The sequence below is a fragment of the Homo sapiens genome, chromosome 13, assembly GCF_000001405.40.
Source record: "Homo sapiens chromosome 13, GRCh38.p14 Primary Assembly".
Classification (NCBI taxonomy): Eukaryota; Metazoa; Chordata; class Mammalia; order Primates; family Hominidae; genus Homo; species Homo sapiens.
The window spans coordinates 79,896,821-79,919,418 of record NC_000013.11 but is presented as its reverse complement, the minus strand read 5'-3'; the positions used below and the strand labels follow the sequence as shown (position 1 = coordinate 79,919,418).

Genomic DNA, 22,598 nt, shown 5'->3' with positions numbered 1-22,598 from the left:
TTGATGATAAAACCTTCTGCCTGGTATATTTCCTTTTGATCTAGCTGAAAAAGGACGCTGGGAGAGGCTAGGACCAGGCTCCTTCAATGACCAGCTGCTGATACAGCTGTGGCTTGTTAAGGCCACAGGACAAGGAACAGTTCCAACATGCTCCCTGTTTTATCACATTCTTAACATTATATTACTAAGAAAATTGATATCCACACAGATGCAGAATTATGGCGTGTTCTGAAGGCCAAATGAATTGTAAAAATGATGAACCAGCTACATATTTCAAGAAATTATTAAGATGTAAATGCTTATCAATAAAACTTTTCTTCCAACTTAAGAGATCTGAAAACAGAGATCTGCTTTTAGATAGTTTCCTTGTCTATGACTGATGGGGAGAGAGTTTAAATTCTCTGGAGAAACACACTTTCTGGTCTCAAGTAACCAGACGGATTTGCATCCTGGATCTAACCTCAGAGGCTTAAGGAGTGCTACAGAAGGCCTCCAGCTGATATGGGGATCTTAGCTATGACTCTCGCTGCTTTCCATTAAGGAAATGAGAAACAACTCATTTTTACAAGGTGCTAACTAAGCTTGGCTGAGCAGCCCAACTGAAAAATCAAACATGCCCAAACACTTCATGTTTATAAAAACAAACTCCATTAACATGCCTGGCTTCCCTTTTCATAAAATTGAAGATGATTTATTACATATCTTAGAGCAGTCCAATTTTCCTATAAAATGCATGTTCTGTATTATGTTTGGCACATTTTAGACGATCAATGTGTAATTGTTCAATTGAATTACAATGGATTTGTTTTCCATGAAAATGATAATGGAGAATTTTACAGAACTTGTGATGACCCAATGGCATAAAATAGAGGGCTTATACAAGCTATAAGAACTGGTATGCACTCCAGAAAGGAAGTTAAACTTTTTTTTTTAATGCCACAGTGTTCACCCTTCCAAAGTCAGCCTTAAAAGGAAGAAGTCCAAATTCTCTAACAACTTACTCCACTGAGTTGGGCCTCATTACAAGTCTCTTTAGTGTAATGCATGCATCTACAATCCCATATTAACCTTATTATTTAAATTATTGTAGTAAACCCAATCCTAGGACTTTTCTAAATTTCCAGTATAATCTCTACTATTTTTCATTATTCACTTAAAAAAAAGGAGATTCAATAAGAAGGAAAGGATATAAAACAATCATCTCTGTACCTACTCACTGAAATATAATATGCAGAATTGAAACCCTCTGTTTACCCATCCCTGATCCAATTACTTGCCCTTGATCCTCAGAAGTAACAACTTACTCTGATTTATCCAACTCTTAACCGAAATTTTCTCACCCACCTGTGGCCTAGGAACAAGGAAGAATAACAGAGTCATAGTGAAAATTAGTTTTAGTTTTAATTTTTGCAAAGCACAGACTTAGCAGGGTTACGATGATTTCATGTGTTTTTCAGAAGACACTGGTTCTCTTAACCCTATTGTGGAGATATGCTTACTACTCTTACTGAAATGTTGGCCAAGAAGACACAGACATTGTAGCGGTCTCAAAACCCATGCTTCTCTCATTACACTACGCAACCTAGTCCCCTCTCTTGCACAAGAGGTCTCTAGTGTTCTCTATGCACAGCCAAGTGCAGTTTTCTGCCCTTCTCTAATGCCATGTCTGTGTCCTAAAGAGGAGAGCAAATTTGAAGCTTCATAACAATGACATTCACAACTTCCAGTCACTTCTTTAGAGCTCTGGTCTGTTCCAGAGCAGGGTGTGCACACCCAAGGCAGGAGCAAATTGAGCCATTAGGTGATGGACAAATGGCATTTTAATTCTTATTTAAACGTAGTTTGATCTAAAGCAAAGAAGAAATTGAATATTAATACAAATAGTAGTAGTATATATACAATTCATGAATAAATATACATATATTGAGGGTGCATGCTCAAAAGTTTTTCTTGTAATTTTTAACTGATAAAAGAGAGTAATCAAATATATTTGGAGAGCACAGATCCAAATAATTCATGTTTACTATCTGTGTTACCTGAGGAAAAATAGTTTCAAGACATGTTGTGTGATTTTAATCACATGCAGGTAATACTGATGTAGTTTTATATACATATACATACCAGATTAAAATAAATTATTTACCTCTGTTCCCATAGAAAATGATACAGTTCCTAGAACTTTTAGTTTAGCTGAGTACATATAACTAAATATTCGCTATTCATCAGCTGCACACTCTAGGTCTATTTTGAAAGACATTTTTATTTTATAATACACTTTTAGCTCTAAAAGGTTTTTAATTTGTTTTGTTTGAGAACCAGAGTTTAAAATGTCCAGAAGAGTTTTTCAGTTGAGGATAGTTAAAATTAAAATTGTAAATAGTTACTTATTACTCCAATATTTATTGAGCATCTACTATGATACAGTAATGATACAAAGGTTAAAAAATAAATATTTCGTATTTGCTTTTTTTCAAGTGCTAAGAATAAGTAATGAGCAAAAGATCGTTGGTGGTCCCTATCTTCAAGGAATTTACTAAGAAATATAAAAGTTGAAATAAATTAGAGAAAATCTTTTAAGCAAAGTATGAACAAAGTCATGTAGACTGTGTCTCTTCCATGTCCACCCTACTCTGCTCCTACTTTCAGATTTCCTCTTCTATGAGCACTGCTCAAAACAAACAAATAAACAAAAACCAAACAGATCCCTAGACTTGCTCGTCATTTCCCATATCTCAGGATCACTCAATATTCTCATTCTCCTGACCTTCACCTCCCGTGTCAACTTCTTTATTTTACCTGACCAACTTTATTTGGGTGATATTGAGTTTAATTTGATTGACTAATCCTGGCTCTTCTGAAATTCCTCCCTGGATCCACAGACAGTCCTGAAAAAGGGAGGCCAAGAGCAGGACTTAGGAACCCCAGAGCAGGCTAAAGAGGAAGAATTTTTACGAGGTAGGCTTTTGAAGGTGGCATAAATTATTTCACATAGACCAGCTAACTCGGTCAGTTGCATTTGGGAAAGCTTGTGAGTCCCTCTGCTATTGGACATTTTCTTTCATTTTAATGATCCTTAAATTGTTCAAAGTAATTATCATTTTAAATTCATATATTAGGGTCTCTTTAATTGGGAGCCTTTTATAGGGCCACAGCAACTTCCTTTGGATGTATTAAGCTTGCTGTCTTCCCCCACAGCACAAGGCTCTATACAAAGCAAGCACTTATTCTTCCTAGAAACATTTATTGGATACTGCCTCGAACAAGGCACGGTGATAGTGATGTGGAGGACACAAAGATGTACGCACAAAGCAATAACATGCCATTTTGACCAAGAAAATGAGGATTATGTTATCTCCCTCTTACAAACACATGGAAATGTTGTGAGTATTTGGTATCTTAAAAATAAATTTTGGACATTGCTTTCAGCTGCACATCTTGCAGCACTGACAAATATATAGTGTCAATATAATACTATTATGTTTCCATTCCCACATCATCAGTCACAGGCTTATCTGTTTTACATAGTCACAGTTTCAAAGCATTTGGGAGACTTTATGGTGGGTAATGATTTAGGAAGAGATGAGAATAGTTGCACGTTTTGTAAAGAGTTGTGAGTGTATTTACTGGGAATGATGATGATGATCATGATGATAATGATAAGGTCCCCAGCTGTCTGTTGAAGTCCCTTTCTGGGAAACAGCTGGAAACTCATTCTCTAAAGATCGCATCTGGCTTGATTTGCCAGCACTCAAATCCCATTGATCTGGTTCTGTTCTAGCCCTCTGTACTCACAGTTCAAAGAGCAGGGAGGCCTGTAAAGAAATTACTGCCATATTGTTCAATCAGCCACAGTGAGCCATATATACGATTATAATTAGGAACACATTAAGGGAAGCAGCTCAGTGGAGATAAGCTGCCTGACTGCATACGCTTTTTGATGAGGGCTTAGCGCCAATACGAAAAGAAAAAGATTAAATGTTTGTTACCAATCCTTTTGAACTTGTGGCAGAACATGTGGTAAAGTATTTTTGATTCAAATTAAAAGCATCCTAGGATAAAAATAACCCTGTTCTCCCAGGCCATTCCAAGTGAAACCATTTGGAGACTGATTTATTGTATCGCCCTTAACCTCTTTCCACCAGCATGATTAACGTAAGCATTTCTGAATCCCTTATAAGCCTGGACAGGTATTTGTCTTGTTACACATCTGTGGAACAAATGGCAATACAAATTATACACTCAACAGATGTAAGTTTTCAAAGGCCAGGCAAATTTAATTTGACTGTGCATGTAAATGAAAAGTTCATTGAGCTCCAAGGTCAGTGATGTGGGTTGCAGGTAAAGAGGATTGTTGCATCAAACATCACCAAAAGGCCAGGGATTCAGAAACCCTCAAAGGGAGCTTCCTAAGCCAAGCAAAGAAAATATAAGCTGCTGCTGCACCACCAAGGAGACAAGCATAGAGAAGGCTGCAAAAGAAAGGGACAGCTTGACCACTACCATCTCGAAAGCCTTTATACAGTCACTGGAAAGAAAAAAAAAGGCAAGATGACCATACCAAATATTTTAAGCTTCCATGACAAGAGGAAGCATGGTTTAGTGGTTTCTTCTGGAAATGGAGAATAGAAAGTTTGTTCCAGATTTAGTCTCTTCCTTCCTCTGTGGCCTTTGGCAAGACTCTTAGCCTCTCTGTGCCTGTTTAACTGTAAAATTGGGATATTAGTGTTTCCCACTTCACAGGTTTCTAAGGTTTAGTATCTTTCTACAGTGATGTTGACCTGTTTAAAATAATACTACATATTATACATTTCATGAGTCCAGAAAATTTGTAACCACATGAACTTATCTGCCAAAGGAATAATTTAGTTTAAGTTGTTTTTAATTATATCATGTGTTCTTAAAATTTCTGTGAACAGTGAAATTTATTTATTTAGTGGTCCTAAATGCTAATTTAAGAAAACCTCAATTATAATATTTTCTCACAGTGTCTCAGTTTTTCCCCAAGACACACCCACATACACATACACATACACACACACACACACACACACACACACACTTTCCTCATTTCCTCTTCCCATTCTAAATTTTGAGGTGTTTTGGCCTCTCTATAATTTCTCCCTTAGTAAAGTAGATATTGTCAATAGTAGTAACACTAAGCTTCTGAAAGCAATAAAACTAAATAATTAATACCACAAGGAAACACATAATGTCAGAACATAGTTGGTTAAACCAAGGGATAAGACTCTAATATGGTAAAGTGTCTTGTGAATTTCTAAGAGAGGGAAAACTTGCCTAATAACAGTTTTGTACCCCTTTACCACTGAATTCCCTCAGGTCTAGTGTTCTGAAGAAAACAATCTGGGAAAAACAATTTGGGAATAACCTAAAGTGTTTTGATACACCTGTGTTCTTTGAGCAAGACGAGTAAAAGTGAGGCCTTTTAAACAACAAGGAAATTATTTCCAAATGCAAATGTGCTTGATTGAGAATGCATATTTGCCTTTAGAAAGAAGATGAAGGCAAAGGGGATAGGTAGAGTACTCTTTTCTTCTCTTGCTCCCACCGGGAAGAATATGCTGCTATTACTTTTTTTGTTTTGTTTGTGTGCTTTGATTCTTTCCTGTAGAAATAACAAGAATAAAAGTATTTGGTGTAACCTAACTTTCTCTATTGTAAGTCTGTGCTAATTACCAGAAGGTCAAACAAATTGAACCTGTAGTTTATGACAGTTTTATAAATAAACATTTTATGTGTAATTGATCCCTAGTGTTCTTTGAAATGCCAATTAGGAAACTCTTGCTGCTTTATAGCCATTAGTCAGGGAAAGATGGACTGATGACTTCACAGTGGTGTGAGAATAGCTCACTGCCTTACTCCTAAAAGGCAAAGTTAAAAAGGGGCAAGGGACATCTTTCAGGTAAAAGAGGTGTATATGAAAATGAAAATCCAAGAACAACTGTCACAGCTGATAGCTAGGTAGCCACAGCACCCTTCTTGTAAGTGTCTTTGCACTGATTGCTTTGGGGGCCTGCCTTCTCCATTAAACCTTGGAGGTCAGAGATGACATCTTATTCATTTCCTTTTTCCTGGAATGTTCTGTGATGCTTAAATCAGATTAGGCACCTGTCATGCATTTACAGAATTAAACTGACAGCAAGTGATTTGGAACAACAGTACTTATAAAAATATACTCACTAACACTTAGATACTGAAGTTGAGTCTTACATTCAAAGTAAAATAGAGAAACACCGTATTTACCTAGGTATTTCTGGCCAGATTATACAGCTCATTTGTGGCAGAAAAAGATGACAAAAAGTATAAATATCTTAGAACATTTGTATTGTTCAAATGCAATGTTTATCTACACAATTTATTTTTTGAATCAATGTGGGGAACTTTACTAATATCCTGGGTAAATGTCACTACTTGGTTATAATCTGTTGAGGTGGTTTTGTATTCTTGGTTCTTCTGTCGTGAAAGTAATCCTCAGTGCTCTGGGTCATCTGGAATAACCGGGAATAACCCTGCCCTCAATGTTCTCATCCAAAACTTTGATAAAGTATTACATTCATGGCCAATGAAAGAATTCAGTGGTGCAAAAATTCAGAATTTCATTTAACTAATCAACAATCTTGGAATGTCGGTTTTCAGTCTCCAGCTATGTTCTCATCCAGCCTGGCTTTCTTTAATATACACAAGGATATACCAAGATCTTGTCAAATACTTGGCTGACAAAGATATATTTTGATTCTACTGTAATTGTAAGTCTACCGTTACTATGGTATCTGTCCCAAAGCTGACACTTACCTATTGCATAATAGAGCTAAAACAATCATGAAGATTGGCATGGTTAAGATTCTTATGAACAGAAAGATCAGTGCATGCCAGATAGGGTTCACACTGGACTACATACCTTCATAGACTTGTCTTCGCTGACATTAATACATTCACTGCCATTAAGCTTATATTTATTAAACATATGGCCAGTAACTTAGCTTCCTCAGTCTTCCTTGCCTTTGAGCTGTTGGGATGTGAATCGTATACTTAATATGCTTGTTTTGTAATGCCTTCGTTTTCCTCTGAAATGTCAAGTAAATTCCATAAAATACCTTTAGTTTATGGCTTTTGGATTTTTAAGCATAGCCCTTTGAAGTTATAGACAGATCATGGTGCCAGAGTGAATTAATTGGAACATTTCCCATAAGCTTTAAGAATATTTTAAAAACTAGAAAATTAAGTGAGAGAATCCCAGTATGTATGAGAATTTAATAAAGACAAAAATAGTAATTTATATATGTATATACACATATATTTAATCACATATTATATAAAATAACATGAATGTATGTATTTAAAAGAATTATAAAATGAAATTTATAAAAAAGGGACTAAGCATAGATACTATGTGAACAAGTCAAAATACCATTTCTAACAAATTGAAACTGTTAAACTAAATTAATTAAATAATTTCTGACACTGTCATGTCAGCTCTTACTATCACAATGTTTCAAAATTACAAAGTGCTTTCCCATTAGTTATCTCACATGAAACTCAAACCATGCCTATGATTAAACATAAGGATGAAAAACAAATATCAAGAATCACTGTCATATGCAACTTGCATCCAATTTTGTAAACTTAGCTCAAGAAATTGATAATGCTTTCAGGTTGAATTTCTAAAGTCATTTCCTAAAAGAAAAGATTAAATTATACACTTTTATTTAAAATTTATTACCATTTTTTAAGACCACGACATCTAAATGATGCTAAAAGCAAAGTATAGAAATGGAACACTTAGAGGCAAGAGGCTGGGCCTGAGAATTTCAGTATTCCACCCATGAAGCTGTGGGTCCTAACACGCTTTTAAAAAGACCCAGCTGAGCTGGGAATGGGAGAATCACAGCTTCTAATCTCAGCTTTACAGAGAACTTGCAATGTGACTTTGAGTAAATCACTTGACCTTTCTGAGCTTTTGATTCCCTATAGGTAATAATCCTGGCCTTATCTCCCTCATTGTTTCAAAAATAAAATGAGATGGATGATTTATGTGAAAGCACTTTGAAAAGTAAAATGTGCTATATTATTATTCAAACAAGGCATTATCCTCTCAAACCTACTTAGAAGGGGTTTGTAAATGAAATACTGCATATTAATGTGATCTTGGTCTTCAGAGAACTTGGGTTCTCTGGGCACCATTACAGTCTCAGCTATTTTTCAGCACAGCATAAATTATGTGCTCCAAACAAGTACTCAATACCCTTCAGAAGCCTGAGAGGCGAGTGTGAGGCTGCTTAGTGCCCCTAAAATAGGTACGACTGTACAGAAAGGAAGAGCGTTTAAGAAAACAGTGAACAGGCTCTGCCTGCCAAGTCTGTGCTTGAGCTGCAGTTTCTCATGTGCACGGGTGTTGAGAATAAAGAAAGCATGTCTAAAAACCCAAGTCTAGGCAGGAATTTCTATAGCCTCTGGTTATTTTACCGAGTTACTATAATAGATGCATGTCCATGCATAAGTGTGAATATACACAAACATGACATTATAAAAGGAGATAGCTTTGCCATGTTACACACCCAATTCACAAAATGGCATCAGTTCCTTAAGCCTTATTTGCTATTGTAATCGGGTCCTTCTGCAAGCATGTTTCATGCATTTTTAATCCTCGAGTCATTTATCTATGCTACAATATTCAAGGTATTCACAAAGTGCATTTTCCCCCCACAATTGTATGTTTAGGTTCCATCTCTGAAATAATTCTTTTCCTACTTACAAGTCTTAGAAATGCCTAAATAGTTTGTTACTGTTGTTCTTAAAGCCCCAGGGCTTCAGGACGAGGCATAACTTGGAAAAATTTGGTTATAACTTTTCTCAATCTGAGGACCCTGCCTCAATCTGGGAATTCTCAGTGGCATTTTACTAGAACTACCAAGTATGTTCACCTGTGAGGTTTCAGAGGCTGTAAGATCTCTAGAGCAAGGGCCCTTGTGTGTCCATATGCACCTTGGCCTTTATTCTCCCACAGTCCCTTAAAGGTAATGGTAATGCATTCTCCTAGGCACACAGTAAAAAAGCCTGATTCCTGGTCACCAAGGCCTTTGTGGCTGCCATGGCTTCTGGAAGCCCTCACTATCAGAAAAGAATTTTTCTTCCTGCAATGTGGCTTAATGGTTAAGCATTTGAATTAAGCATGATATGGTCAGAGATTTGAACTGACATCTGAGACCAATCGGGTGTATGATTTAAGTGTCTTAACTTCTCAGGTCCTCTTTCTTCATTTGACAAATGGACATCATATTTTCTAACTAAAAGGATGGTGATGAGGATTAAATGAAATGGGTGCATAGAAAGTGCCAGGTGCACTCAATCAATGGCAAGTAGTAGTTGCAGTAAAACAACAGCCATTGGAAGTATCTCTCTCCACTGCTGCAGTAGGAAAAAGTGCAGAGTTATAAAGGAGAGTAAGCCTATTAAAAGACAGAAAAAAATATTCTTTAAACTTGAAGGGAGACATGCTATACACATCAGTTGGTAAGAGTGTAACTATGCAGACAGCTTTCCTGTCCATAAATCACAGGTCAAGCTACATAAAATTTGTACAAGGAAATCAGGAAGAGGTAGTCTCCACTCTCTTGGGTGAACTCCTGAACAGCTCTATAGCAAAGCAAGAGAGAAAGAATAAATCTAAAAACGCTTAGTATATTTGAAGTATTCGTATATGTAGTTTAAGATGTATGTGATATTACAAAACAATGTACAGCCATATGTACACCTAGGACTATAAACTTCAGGCTGGAAGAACTGGCCTCTATGCCCTGGTATGGCTGCTCAGGTGCAATGGTGTCTTTAGTTTCTTTCTTTTCTTTCTTTTGAGACAGAATCGCACTCTGTTGCCCAGGCTGGAGTGCAGTGGCGCCATCTTGGCTCACTGCAACCTCTGACTCCCAGGTTCAAGAGATTCTCCTTCCTCAGCCTCCCCAGTAGCTGGGATTACAGGCACACACCACCATGCCTGGCTTTTTTTTTTTTTTTTTTTTTTTTTTGGACTTTTAGTAGAGACAGAGTTTCACCATGTTGCCCAGGCTGGTCTCGAACTCCTGACCTCAGGTGATCCACCCACCTCGGCCTCTCAAAGTGCTGGGATTACAGGTGTGAGCCATCATGCCCAGCCTGGTGTCTTTAGTTTCTAGTCTTGTCTTTTAAAGAAGAGATCAGGCTTGTCTGAGTAGTTCCTGTGGGCACAGCTGGGGATAGAAGCAGCCCTGATTTATAGCATTTGCCAATTTCCATAGTGTAAACACTCTCACCATGAGACTTCACTGAAAACAAAATTGAGAAGACATGCACACAATGGCATCTCACGAGGCAGTGCTAAGAGGCTCCACCACACCACTGCATAAGCGAAACTGTCACTGAAGGTGGATGCTGTTCAGATGAAGATTTCAGCACACTGCACGTCTCAAGTGACTTCCATGTGCCTGGTCCTATTTCTGTCTTCAGCCTGAATTATTCCCATTTCCTTACATATTTTTCCCCCGGATCTTACCTTTTTGTCCCTAAGTCCCTCCTGTTGCTCTGCTATGAAGTATGGGCAATCTGCATCCTTCTGACTGAAGGCAACAAAAGAGACATGTAGAAAAGCAGTCATTTAAGGAAATATGGGGACCTGGATTTCTAATAATGCTGTTAGTTTGTAAAAAGCTTATTTTATTCAAGATTCACTATATTGTGTGTCCAGAGTAAGTTGCAGATACTCAAGTTCAGGTCCTTACAACTGCACATATGGTCTATTTTCCACACACTTTAATATGGTCTATCAACTTCCTCTCTCTCCACCCTACCCAGTCTGCGCAGCGCTGCCAGATATATCTTTCTGAAATAACACTTGGATCACATTTCTTACTCAGAAATTCTAGCGGTTTCCCAGTCCCTTCAGAAAAAAAAGCTCAAATTCTTAGCCCTCAAGGATTTTCACAGTTAGAATACCAATGGCTTCAGGTGCCTTTTCATCCCCTCCTCTCCTGAGCTCTTTACCCAAGCCTAATTGCCATCTGTTCCTGCCTCTGAACTCACATCTTCCTTTATAGAGAGAACATTTTCACTTTGTCCTCAACTGCTGTTTGGGATGGAATGCTTGTTTCCCTCAAATTCATATGTTGAAACCGTATCCTCTAATGTGATGGGTAGGTGTTAGGAGACGGGGTCTGTGGGAGGTAAGTAGGATTAGACGAGGTCGTGAGGGTGGAGGCTTCATGAATGAGATTAGCGCCCTTTTAAGATGAGACATGATACTAAAGAGCATGCTTCCTTTCTCTCTCTCTTCCTCCCCACAACCCGCTGCCATGTGAGGATACCATGAGAAGGTACCCATCAGCAAACCAAGAAGTAAACCCTCACCAGACACTAAATTTTTTAGCACCTTGATGTTGAACTTCCCAGTCTCCAACTGTAAGAAATAAATATTTGTTATTTAGGCCACTCAGTTTATGGTGTTTTGTTACTGTATCCCAAGCTAAGACAATGACTTTCTTCATACTTTCTTCAGTCCTGACTTCAAAGTGTACTTTTTCTGTGACTCTATTCTGACAATCCTATGTAATTTTCTTTTTTTCTCTGAAGTCACTCAGTTATCTTATCTATACCTCTTAAATTGCTCATATGATACACTGTTTGCTATTGCATCTATTTGTTTACATAATCTGCTCAAGTGGGTTACCAGCATGAAAAGCACCAGGATATCTTTGACTATTCTGCCAGCATTCTCCAATAAATGTTTCTGTTATGACATAAATATTTTATATTCCCACTGTCCAATACGATAGCCATTAGCTACATTGTGGCTACTGAGTACTTGACATATGGCCAGTGCAAATGGGAACTGAGCTTTATTTTTATTTATTTTAATTCAGTAAAATTTAAATCTAAAGAGTCACAGGTGAATAGTATCTACATACTGGACAGCATAGCTAGACCCTCCATGACCGTAGCACAATGTCTTTTACTCTGGAGCTGCTCAACAATTATTTGTTAAAGGAATCAATGAAACTCCCTTATAAATCACAACATAACCCCAAACTGCCTTATAGAGCATTCCTAGTTTCTAATCATCCTCTCCTGCATTCTGTGACCATGTCCTCTTTGACCTTTCTAATCTCCCAAAACTCTTTTGGGTAATCTTGTTTACAATAGCCATGGGATGGATTTAGATGTTCACAAGTACACAGTCTGCTTCCAGCCCACTAAGACTCTCTAAGGTGAGCTCTGAGCATTTCAAGATTAGAGCTTTGGAGAGGAAGCTATTTGTTTTGACAGGCTCATCTCCACCCTTCAGGGCCGATATACCAAAGCCTGGGTGTTTTGTTTGTTTATTTGTTTGTGAAGGAGTTTCACTCTTGTTGCCCAGGCTGGGGTGCAATGGCACGATCTTGGCTCACCGCAACCTCTGCCTCCCAGGTTCAATTGATTCTCCTGCCTCAGCCTCCCGAGTAGCTGGGATTACAGGCATGTGCCACCCCTACCCCCGGCTAATTTTGTATTTTTAGTAGCGATGAGGTTTCTCTGTGTTGGTCAGGCTGGTCTCAAACTCCTGACCTCAGTTGATCTGCCTGCCTGGGCCTCCCAAAGTGCTGGGATTACAGGTGTGAGCCACCACACCCAGCCACCTGAGTGTTATAGTCTACAGGTAGGTAGAAATTGTCCTACCACTTTGGGTCACTTTTGTCGTGCTGTTTAAATACAGAAAAGTCTAAATTTTAGTTTCTTATAGATGAAACATGGTTAATCCTGGTTAAAAAATATAAAATAGTTTAATTTGTAGCAAATAATCTTATGTATTATTATGCATTCACTTGCACAGATGGCAGAACAGTTCGTTTGCAATTTAAGGAGTCTAAAATAATGTAAACACTCTGTTTCAGTGGCATTGAAGAAAAACTAAAAAATTCTTTTTCTCAAACAACTTGGAAAATGCTAAACGTCATTGAGAAATAACTTAGGATATAATTTTAAAGTGAAATGGACCTTAGACATTAGTGAGTCCATCACACCCATTTTACACATAACAAATATAATTGTGGTCATTTAAAATTGTTTTAATAAAACTATTAGTAAATGTTTGACTACAGCAGAGATAAATAGAAATTCATCCTATTTTTGTAAAATTCTCCATTAATTAACGGACTCTTAGTTTATAGGACTATTAAAACTGATTTTATTTACAATAAGCAAATTAAATTAGATCATTGAACTTTATAAACATAAAAAGTAAAATGCTGTTTTTATTCTTCACTCTCTAGCAGTCATTTGGAACCAGGTAATGTAATAACATCTGTCTCCTACAAAAAGTTCAATGTCTGTAAGAAAAGGAAACATTTACTTATTTGTCCTGTGTTTTTATTAGACACTGGGCTTTGCAGATGTCACTTTCTATGAATAGTTCACCCCAAAATTTGGCCGTACTCCTTACTAGCTTCTGTTTCTTAGAAGGCATTTAGAATTGCATCACGTTTTGATTTGGCACATGTGCACATTCACACACACACACACAAATGAGAATTGAGAGTTATATGTAATTAAATATTTTATAGTACAACATAAATCACAGAAGATATATTTTCTGAAGTTTGTGTTAACCAATAAATACTCTGTAGAAAAATTAGAAAACTCTCCTAGGCAACTAATCATTTTATATTTTGCTTTCCATTCCCATACAATCTTTGACTTCCAATTACACTGAATTATGAGACCTGTTATACTACACAATGATTGTATTGTTCTACTGCAAATCCACAATTTCAGCATCAAAAGGAATACAAATTTGCTTTCAAGATACTGATACTAAAACATATTCTCTGTCAATTGACAATTTCTCTAGGTCTAAATGTAATAGACTGTAAAAAGACATACTGGATGGCAAGATTAATAATATAACACACTTAAATGAATGCAATGTTGTTATCTCTGAATTCTCATAGTACCTAACTAAGCCAAAAGATGCTGCCAGAATATTTTGTCAGTTAGAGGTTATATAGCACTTTATAGTATAGATAAGAATAAAGTGTACAAAATAGAATCTTTTATACAGGAGTATCCTAATGAAGAGGTTATTAAATTGTTCTACCTTTAAAATTTCATTACATTCATTCACCTACCTCGGTTTTCCCTACTAATGTGCTCATAAATCCCCTTCTACACAAAATACAAGAGTCCTCTGTAGCTTAGCGTGTTGTGTTTATCTTAGATTACAATTAGGATGTTACAGTAGACCAGGGATTTTTTTTTTTTTTTATTGTTCTGTTTTGTTGTAAGTTCTCAGTTTAGCATCCAGGATAATCAGTTTGGTCTGGGACACACAGATACTTCATACTACATCACTATAACCTGTTGGACTGATGACCCAAAGGCAGTTATGGTTTTGTGTTTTTATTAGAAACAGTTCCAAACTGCTGAGCCACTCACTCTTTCAAACAGCATGCTCACAATCAGTCTAAAATCTTTCTTCACCAGCAAATGCACAGCATGAAATAGGTCTATATTTTAAACAACTTAGCTTACATTATATTCAAGACAACAGACTTTAGAGTTAGTTGGTGTATTCCAGCAGCATTGAGACAGTGTGAAGGCAGTATGTGGTTCTCTTGAGAAACAGTCACAGCTGAAGCTGTGACTCAAAACCAGGTCCAGTGAATAATTTACTAATCAATTGCATAGCACAATAAAAAAAATTCTCGTATTTAAAAAAGAAGAAATTTCTAAAAGCACAAAAGATTTTTTGGCTATAATAAAATAATACAAAATATAATGAATAAAATGATATAAAATACAATAAAATAATATAAAATAATGAAGCCAAATGCTTTCTTTATTATGAGAAAAATATATATTATAAATATATATGTTAATATATAAATGTAGAACATATGTATATATAAATTTATATATATAGAATTATATATATCTAACGCCTCATTAAATGGTAAGATATATTAAAAATCAGTATAATTTTGCATTTAGAGTAGAAAATATTAAAAAGATATCAACAATATTATAGTTAAAACAGAAGTACTTTGTAAAATAGTAAACATAGCATGATGTAATGCTTTTTGAGAAACATACGTATATAGATCAAACTGTTTATGATTATCTTTAGGTAGTATTTTATTTTTTTCCTTTTTTAACCTACCTATACTAACTTTTTCTGCAATAAGTAGGAATTAATTTTTGAATTTAAAATAGTTTAAAATCCAGCAATCCCACCATTGGGTATATATATACACAAAGGAAATGAAATCATTATGTCAAGGAGATCTCTGCACTCCCATATTCATTGCAACATTACCACAATAGCCAAAATATGGAATCAACTTAAGTGCTCATCAACAGATGAATGGATAAAGAAAATGTGGTATATATACACAACAGAATACCATACAGCTTTAAAAAGGAAGGAAATCCTGTCATTTGCAACGACATGGATAAGCCTGCAGGACATTATATTAAGTGAAATAAACCAGTCACAGAAAGTCAAATATCATATCACATTGTCTCATGCACATGTGGAATCTAAAAATGTCGAACTCATAGAAGTAGAGAGCAGAATGATGTTTACCATGGGCTGGGGTAGTAGAGACTGGGGAAAAAAATAAAATCATTTAAATTTTCAAAGAACCCCTATTGACTGGAGCTAGTAGCAGTTTACTCTGTAGCAATATCAGCAACAGCAGTAACAATAATGATGAGAGCAAACGCATCGTGTTTAATCATGCCAAGCACTGTTCTTACCTCTTTTTATATATTGATTCATGTAATGCATACTGAATTCTGAAGTTTTTATTTAACTCTTGTTAGTGGGCACATCCTGTCTTGCAGAGGAGCCTTCATTTCTTTGACGAATCTCTCTCTTGATTTCTGCTGTTGAAGATCTCTGGACCAGTAGGAAAGTGAGTTTACTTTAGCCACTGAGGCCCTCCCTTGACATTGTAGGAGAATTTTTGGAGATAGACAATATAGGCCTATTATGACAGCCCTATTACTATCAGTGACAACATGTTCTCCTTCCAGCTTTGTGTACCAGCATCACTAGCAGGTTACCCACAATCTCATGGTTACAAGATGGCTGATATAACTGGACCATGATTGCCTCATTCCAGGTAGAGGAATAAGAAAGAGGCCCATTTATTTCAAGGGAAAGAGAATTCAGAATACTTGCACTGGTGGCAGTAGAAGTATCATCCCAATAATCAAACTCTTAGATTGAACATGCTAATAATTTGTGTCCGGCTGGTAGAAAAAAAATACTCTCTGTCCATGCTAATTCTTATTTTGCCATAAAAAATATTGCTCTGGAGCCTCATTCAACATTCAAAATTGGTTGAATGGTTCGTACACAGTCAATTCATGTTGTCAAATTCAATGAAAATATCCCATTTCTGAAAGTGAAGTTTTCAATCTGCTGTGATTCACTTCTCTTGAGTCAGTCCCACTGCTGAGTTATTGTGCCCCCACAAGAGACTTGGTATGGATGGTGAAACAAGATTTTTTTTCTCTGCTGCCTATTTGCTGAATGGCTACTTAGCAAGTCACTTGACTCATTCATGAATTGAGCAGCAACTGTGTGCCAGGCACAGAACTTGAGATATACATGTGAAAATGTACACACATAAATATCACAGGATTCCAGCTCTTATGGTAATGTATGCTTAGTGTACATGTGGAGAAATGTTGGGAGGCAGGAAGAAAGATATGGAAACAAGTAATTACTATAGGTGTAATATATGCTACTGGAACAAAATACAAATTACTAGAGAAATAGAAAGGGGGGAAAAAGCCTTTCATCTGGAAAATACATTCCTCTGAGTTCACTAAAAGCACATTATGAATACTATTGTCCACTAGGAGTATAACACCTTATCTCCTATGGATAAATCAGTTTAATATAAGCACACATTAGGCATAAAGCACAATGAGATTTATTACACTTGATCTTAGCCAAAAGGCTGAGAAGCAATGCAATGAGATTTATTTATAATCTTCAGCAATTCTGTAATGGGGAAAAGGAGGCTTTACATTCCCATTAGCACAATCCTATCAGCAGTTATAATGGGAATAGCCAGGATATTAAATCAACGTATTTTCATCCTAGGTGACTCTTCCCTTCTAGTTGTTCAATTATTCTTTATACACAAACCAAACCTGGCCACCTCATATTTTAGAGTCCTTTATTTTGTACGTAGAAGTTACCTCTGCCACCCGTGAAAGCTAAGCCATGAAGCCTATTGAAATAGATGTGACCTAAGAAGTGTTTCAACCAGAAAGCAGGTAAGAAGATACAATAGGAAGCCATTTCTTTGAACACAGTAGAATGTAAAGAAAAGTAAAGAGGTGATAGAGCCAGGTTATTAAGTGTCTAATCCCTGCTGCTCCCTAACGTATTGGGAAATCCAGGAACACTGGAGCTAGTGACCCACTTTCTGTGTTGTAATTTGGGGGATGGAGAAGCTCTACATTTTTCTCTGTGTCTCATCCAACATGCCACCAGTATGCCACCAGTATACAATGCAGCATCAAGAGAGATGGCCCTTGATAGCCTGAAGTGGTACTCCTCTGTGTGGGATATACTTGGATCCCGTAAACGCGAATGACGGCAAGACAGAAGTGTTAGGAGAGCTGGCAGAAGTCTGGCCAGAAGCAAGGGCAGCATAGCGTGGAGACCAGAGGCTTCAGGCAATGGCCAAAGCCACACATGTCTCAGCACGATCTCTGCAGGCCATGAGGAGACAGCCACCTATCAGCAGACCCCCATGGGTTGGCACAGACTAACTGCGTCACCACAGAGCCCAAGAACAAACAGTGCACCCAACAAGGACCTGCATTCACAGAAGCTTGACACTGCTGCCTCAGGATTAAAAGATCGCCCCCTGGCCTCAAACCCCCAGACATATGGCACCATCTCGGGGAAGAAGAGGGAAATGGTTGGGAAATCTGACAGACTGAACATTTACCCTAAAGAGGATGAGTCATCCAAAAGAAATTATCTAAACAGGAAGAGACAGAAATGTAGTTAATTAGCAAGATTAAAGCACCCCAACCCCCAACCCTATGCCCTTAACAAGCGGAGTTAACAAGCTCAGGGGAAAAATTAAATCATTATCAAAAGATTCCCCCAAGCTTCTGAAAAGCCTAGAGAGGGAATTACGTGGAGTAGTATTCACAGGGCAAATGTCATTTATCCTATTACATTTATCCTATTACACCTAGCAGTCAAAAGCTGGTCCCTTTGAAGCAAGGTGGCCCTCATTCAGTTGACAATTTGGACTGATTGTGTTGGAAGAGAAGTGCTCCTCAGTCAGTAGATCTTGATGTCAATAGAGATCAGTTTTTAATCAGCTGCTTGCTGCTACTTGCCTTGCTCTGCAAAGCGGGCGGTCAGGGACAAAGGGCTAGCCACAACTACTTCTCCCTAGTTCTGCTCCTCCTATGTTATGGCCCCTACACTCATTGTCCCCAAGTATTATGAGGTAGATAACAATAAAAAAGTAAAATCTGTTAACAAACTGGGGGCACGTTTTGGCAGAGCGGAAAAAAAATCTGAATTGGGAGACAGCAGACAGAGCAGCTGGTAACGATTTTGTCACTGACTGTCCAAGTTTCCACACAATGTGTATTATTTAGGGGAAAAAATGTCAAATAAGTTTGGAATGCTGAGTTAAGTAAAGTTAAGCAGATGTCTTATCTGAAGGGCTACCTCTAATAAACCTCTAATAAAGCTAATATGTATAGTGAAATTCCAAAGGGGCCAAGTATGCAGTTTCCCAAACTTATTCCAGTGGTATGCTGCAGCTGGCCCATACCAGCTTAAGGTTGTGGGCATCTCTTCCCAACTCTGAGTTCAGTGATGTCACTGTGGTAGTTTGAAATTGGCCATGGTGGGAGTAGTTACGCCACACAAATTGACAGTTACTAACAGGTTTTCTTTACCACCATACCATTGTCTTAGAAAACACTTGTTAATAAAACCTGTCACAGGACTAGTGCATTAGTATTCTACTGCTGTTTCAACAAATTATCACAAATTGAGTAACTTATAGCAATACAAATATGTTATAGTTCTTAGGTAGAAATCTGACACAGGTCTCACTGGGCCGCAGTCAAGGTGTCTGCATTCCTTTCTGAAGGTTCTAGGAGAGAGTTCATTTCCTTAACTTTTCCAACTTTTGGAGCCATCTGCATTCCTTGACTCAGGGCCCCCTTTCTTTATCTTTAAAGCCAACAACAGCAGACTGGTCCCTTCTCACAGGGCAGCACCTCTTCTACACCCTTTTCTACTTTTAAGGACCTTGTGATTGTAATGGGCTTACCCAAATAATCCAGGATAAACTCTCTATTTTCAGATCAGTTAATTAGCAACCTTAATTCCACCTGCAATCATAACTACCCTTTGAAATGTCAAGTAATACAGTCACAGGATCCAGGGATTAGGATGTGGACAACTTCGAAGGGGCCATTATTCTGCCTGATACAGCTAGTGTTCCAAGGAACACATTTTGGAAAGACTCACAAAAGCCTTGTGATGGGAAGTGCATTGGGCTACCCACTTTCTAATTTTTCTTGAGTAAATTATTTATCTTTTTAGAGCTACAGTAAATTGCTGTATGAAATGAGGCTAATGCTTTCTTGATCTGCTTGGCAAAGTTGTTCGATAGACACAACAATGTCTTAAAAAGTGATGAGACTCTCTACATGTGTAATATATCATTATTCTTAATAATAGTTCATGTAATACAAGTTTTTGTTTAAGGTCAAAATAATTCCCATAGTTAATAACTCAATCATGTTCTACCAGTATCTTCCCAAAAGGAAAGGGTAGCTCTGGCTAGTGCCAAGAGGAGAGTGTGTGAAAATTGAGATCATGCACAGACTTCGATCATTTTAGATTTTTACCTGAGCCTGGATCTAGATTAAGACTTCTCAGAGTCTTTAAAATTAGTGAAAAACCTGAAAAAAATGCAGGATCTTGTAGGTCTTTCAGGACTAGATCTGGGCAAATTCCCTTTTATGTGCCCATTCTTCGCTTTCTCTCTCACTTCAACTTTGTCTGTAAGATTCTGTAAGCCACAATACAGATTATCAGGCCAATGTGGGGTAAAGAATGGGAAAATTTTAAAATAAATGTTCCCTTTTAGACACAAGTTGAAACCCAGATCCTTCCCATGGTGAGTCATAGAACTCAACATTCTCAAGTCATAAGTATTGGTGGCTGAGTTGATGACCCTCTGCATCTTAAATAAATGATTGCATTACTGATTGAAATGTAACCTTTACTTTTTCCTGTTTAAATATTTGGTGCTTTGTCTTCTATCACCTGTATATCCTGAGGTTACATAATTTAAAATTTGAATTCAGGTTGCTAATTCACCAACTGCTGGCCCTTTTATCTACTCAAACATTCGTACCATTTTAGGGGTCTTATTACACAATTGTTTCCTGTACCATCATCAGCTTTGAGATGCACAGCTGATAAAGAGTATTAAGGAAAGAATTTTAAATGACCTATAGATTTTGCATAGAAAATAAATTATAATAAACTATGTGTTCAATTTGACTGTGCAGAATTTTGAGCTGTTTCACTCCGCCTCATTTTTGGCCAAGACAAGTAGCTGCGAGTTGTTAGTTATCAGCCTTTGATAAACCTGACACTACCCAGCTTGGTTATATAATCCACCACCCTGTGGTCCTGGAAATGGCTGTGCCTTTGGAATCTGTGTCACATTATGCTGGCATCAACAAAACCAGCCAGGCAAGATGGTGACCTGGGCAGAGCTAAGATTACAAGAACAGGATCACTTTCTGTTTTGTGTTGACTTCATTGTGAGGATTGTGAGTGTCAGATTTTTAGTCTTTGGTGTTGGGGCTTTTCTGATAACCTTGTCAGGGCCCAAACTAACCTGTCCTTTCTGGGCTGTACTCCAAGGAGCTAGGAGGGGATTAGTAGCAGCAGCAGTATCTTGGCAAAAGGAGTCTTGGACCAGCTTTGACCAACAAGCAGGGCTTCTGTGGGCTAGTTCTGCCTGTGCACCATGATGATGTGAGTTTTCATTAGCTTTGCCTCCTTGAGAATGACAGAAGCTTTCAGATTAGAAATGTATGAAATGTACATGCACAAGGAGAATAAATAAGCCTTGAAACCTAGAACTATGTCAACAGGAAATGAGAAAAGGAAATGCTAAAAACAAAAATGTGTTAAGTGTGGAGAGGGAGAAATAATTATGAAATCTAGATGGGGCCTTTCTTTCTAAGAGTATTTGAAAACAGATATCTACATATCTGTATATACTTATATATACACACATACATGCATGCAAATATATGTGTATATATATATACACACACACATTTTACATTTGGCTTAGGCCCTGAGCTCATTCAACAAAAACTGGTATGCCCAAAAGAGTAATAGAGTATAACTAGCATAATATGACTGCTCAATGAAATCAGCTGTGTAGGTTGCCAAAGGAACAGCATCGTTTTATGGAAAGAGTTCTGATTATAAAGCAGATGCAAGAATAACCCCAGAGTGACAAGGCATGGTGGCTCATGCCTGTAATCCCAGCACTTCGGGAGGCCAAGGCAGGCAGATCACTTGAGTTTAGGAATTGGAGACCTGCCTGCCTGGCCAATGTGGAGAAACCTTGTCTCGACTAAAAGTACAAAAATTATCTGGGCATGGTGGTGCACGCCTGTAGTCCCAGATATTTGGGAGGCTGAGGCACGAGATTCTCTTGAACCCAGGAGCTGGAGGTTTCAGTGAGCTGAGATCGCAACACTGCACTCCAGCCTGAATGACAGAGTGAGACCCTGTCTCAAAAACTACAATAATATTATTACTAATAAAATAATCCCAGGGAAGTCCTAGGAACACAGGAAATAGACATCTAACAAGGTGTGGGCTGGTCATGAGGTATCAAGGGCTAAGTCTGCTCAAGGTAATTCAATTCCATTAAAATGTACCTGTCACATCCTCCACTAAAGTATTATTCTAGATTATGCAGAAGACACCAAGGCTAGTGATGCAGGGGGCTTGCTGTCATGAAATCTATGATCTTGGTAGCTGGATGGAGGAGAGAGTTGGTAGGAGGAAATATATTAGGTGGAATATATTTCTAGGCAGCTAGAATTAGAATCAAAATTTCAATGTAGTCAAAAAGCACACCTCTCTGAAAGTAGAACTCAAACTATCTCAACCTCTCTGAAACCTAGGGAGACCTCCGGGTTTCCTTCTTACTATGCCTTCTTTATCTCATCTTTATGGAATCCATTTCCTCCCCTTAAGAGCACCTTCACTACTGAGCACTCCTTGTTGTTAATACCACCTCGCTCTAATTGTTCATGCATTCCAGCTCAGCTATTAAGTATGGTTATACCTAGTTGTATGTTTCCATGGTGTGTTTAATTTTACATATTTCTGCAGTGGCTGCACATTCTTGAGAAGATGCATGTACTTTTCTACCTTTTGCATAAGATGGTAAGTTCCTTCAAGGACAAAAACTTTATCCTCTTCCTTAGAAGGCCCCACATCTTCTCATAAAGCATTTGACACTTTAGGT

General features: G+C 37.6%; 1 long non-coding RNA gene and 1 pseudogene across 1 annotated transcript in view; both read right to left on the bottom strand.

Moving 5' to 3' along the window:
• Positions 1 to 1,382: 1,382 nt before the first annotated feature.
• The window catches only part of LINC00382 (long intergenic non-protein coding RNA 382), a 45,451-nt gene continuing 24,235 nt past the window's right edge, over positions 1,383 to 22,598 (bottom strand). The window contains exons 2-6 of the long non-coding RNA NR_120413.1: positions 10,544 to 10,607; positions 6,917 to 7,024; positions 4,559 to 4,703; positions 2,797 to 2,885; positions 1,383 to 1,847 (exon numbers count right to left, since the gene is read on the bottom strand). This is a non-coding gene — a long non-coding RNA (long intergenic non-protein coding RNA 382). The remainder of the gene's footprint in view (positions 1,848 to 2,796; positions 2,886 to 4,558; positions 4,704 to 6,916; positions 7,025 to 10,543; positions 10,608 to 22,598) is intronic.
• LOC124903273 (uncharacterized) lies at positions 16,888 to 17,003 on the bottom strand (annotated as a pseudogene).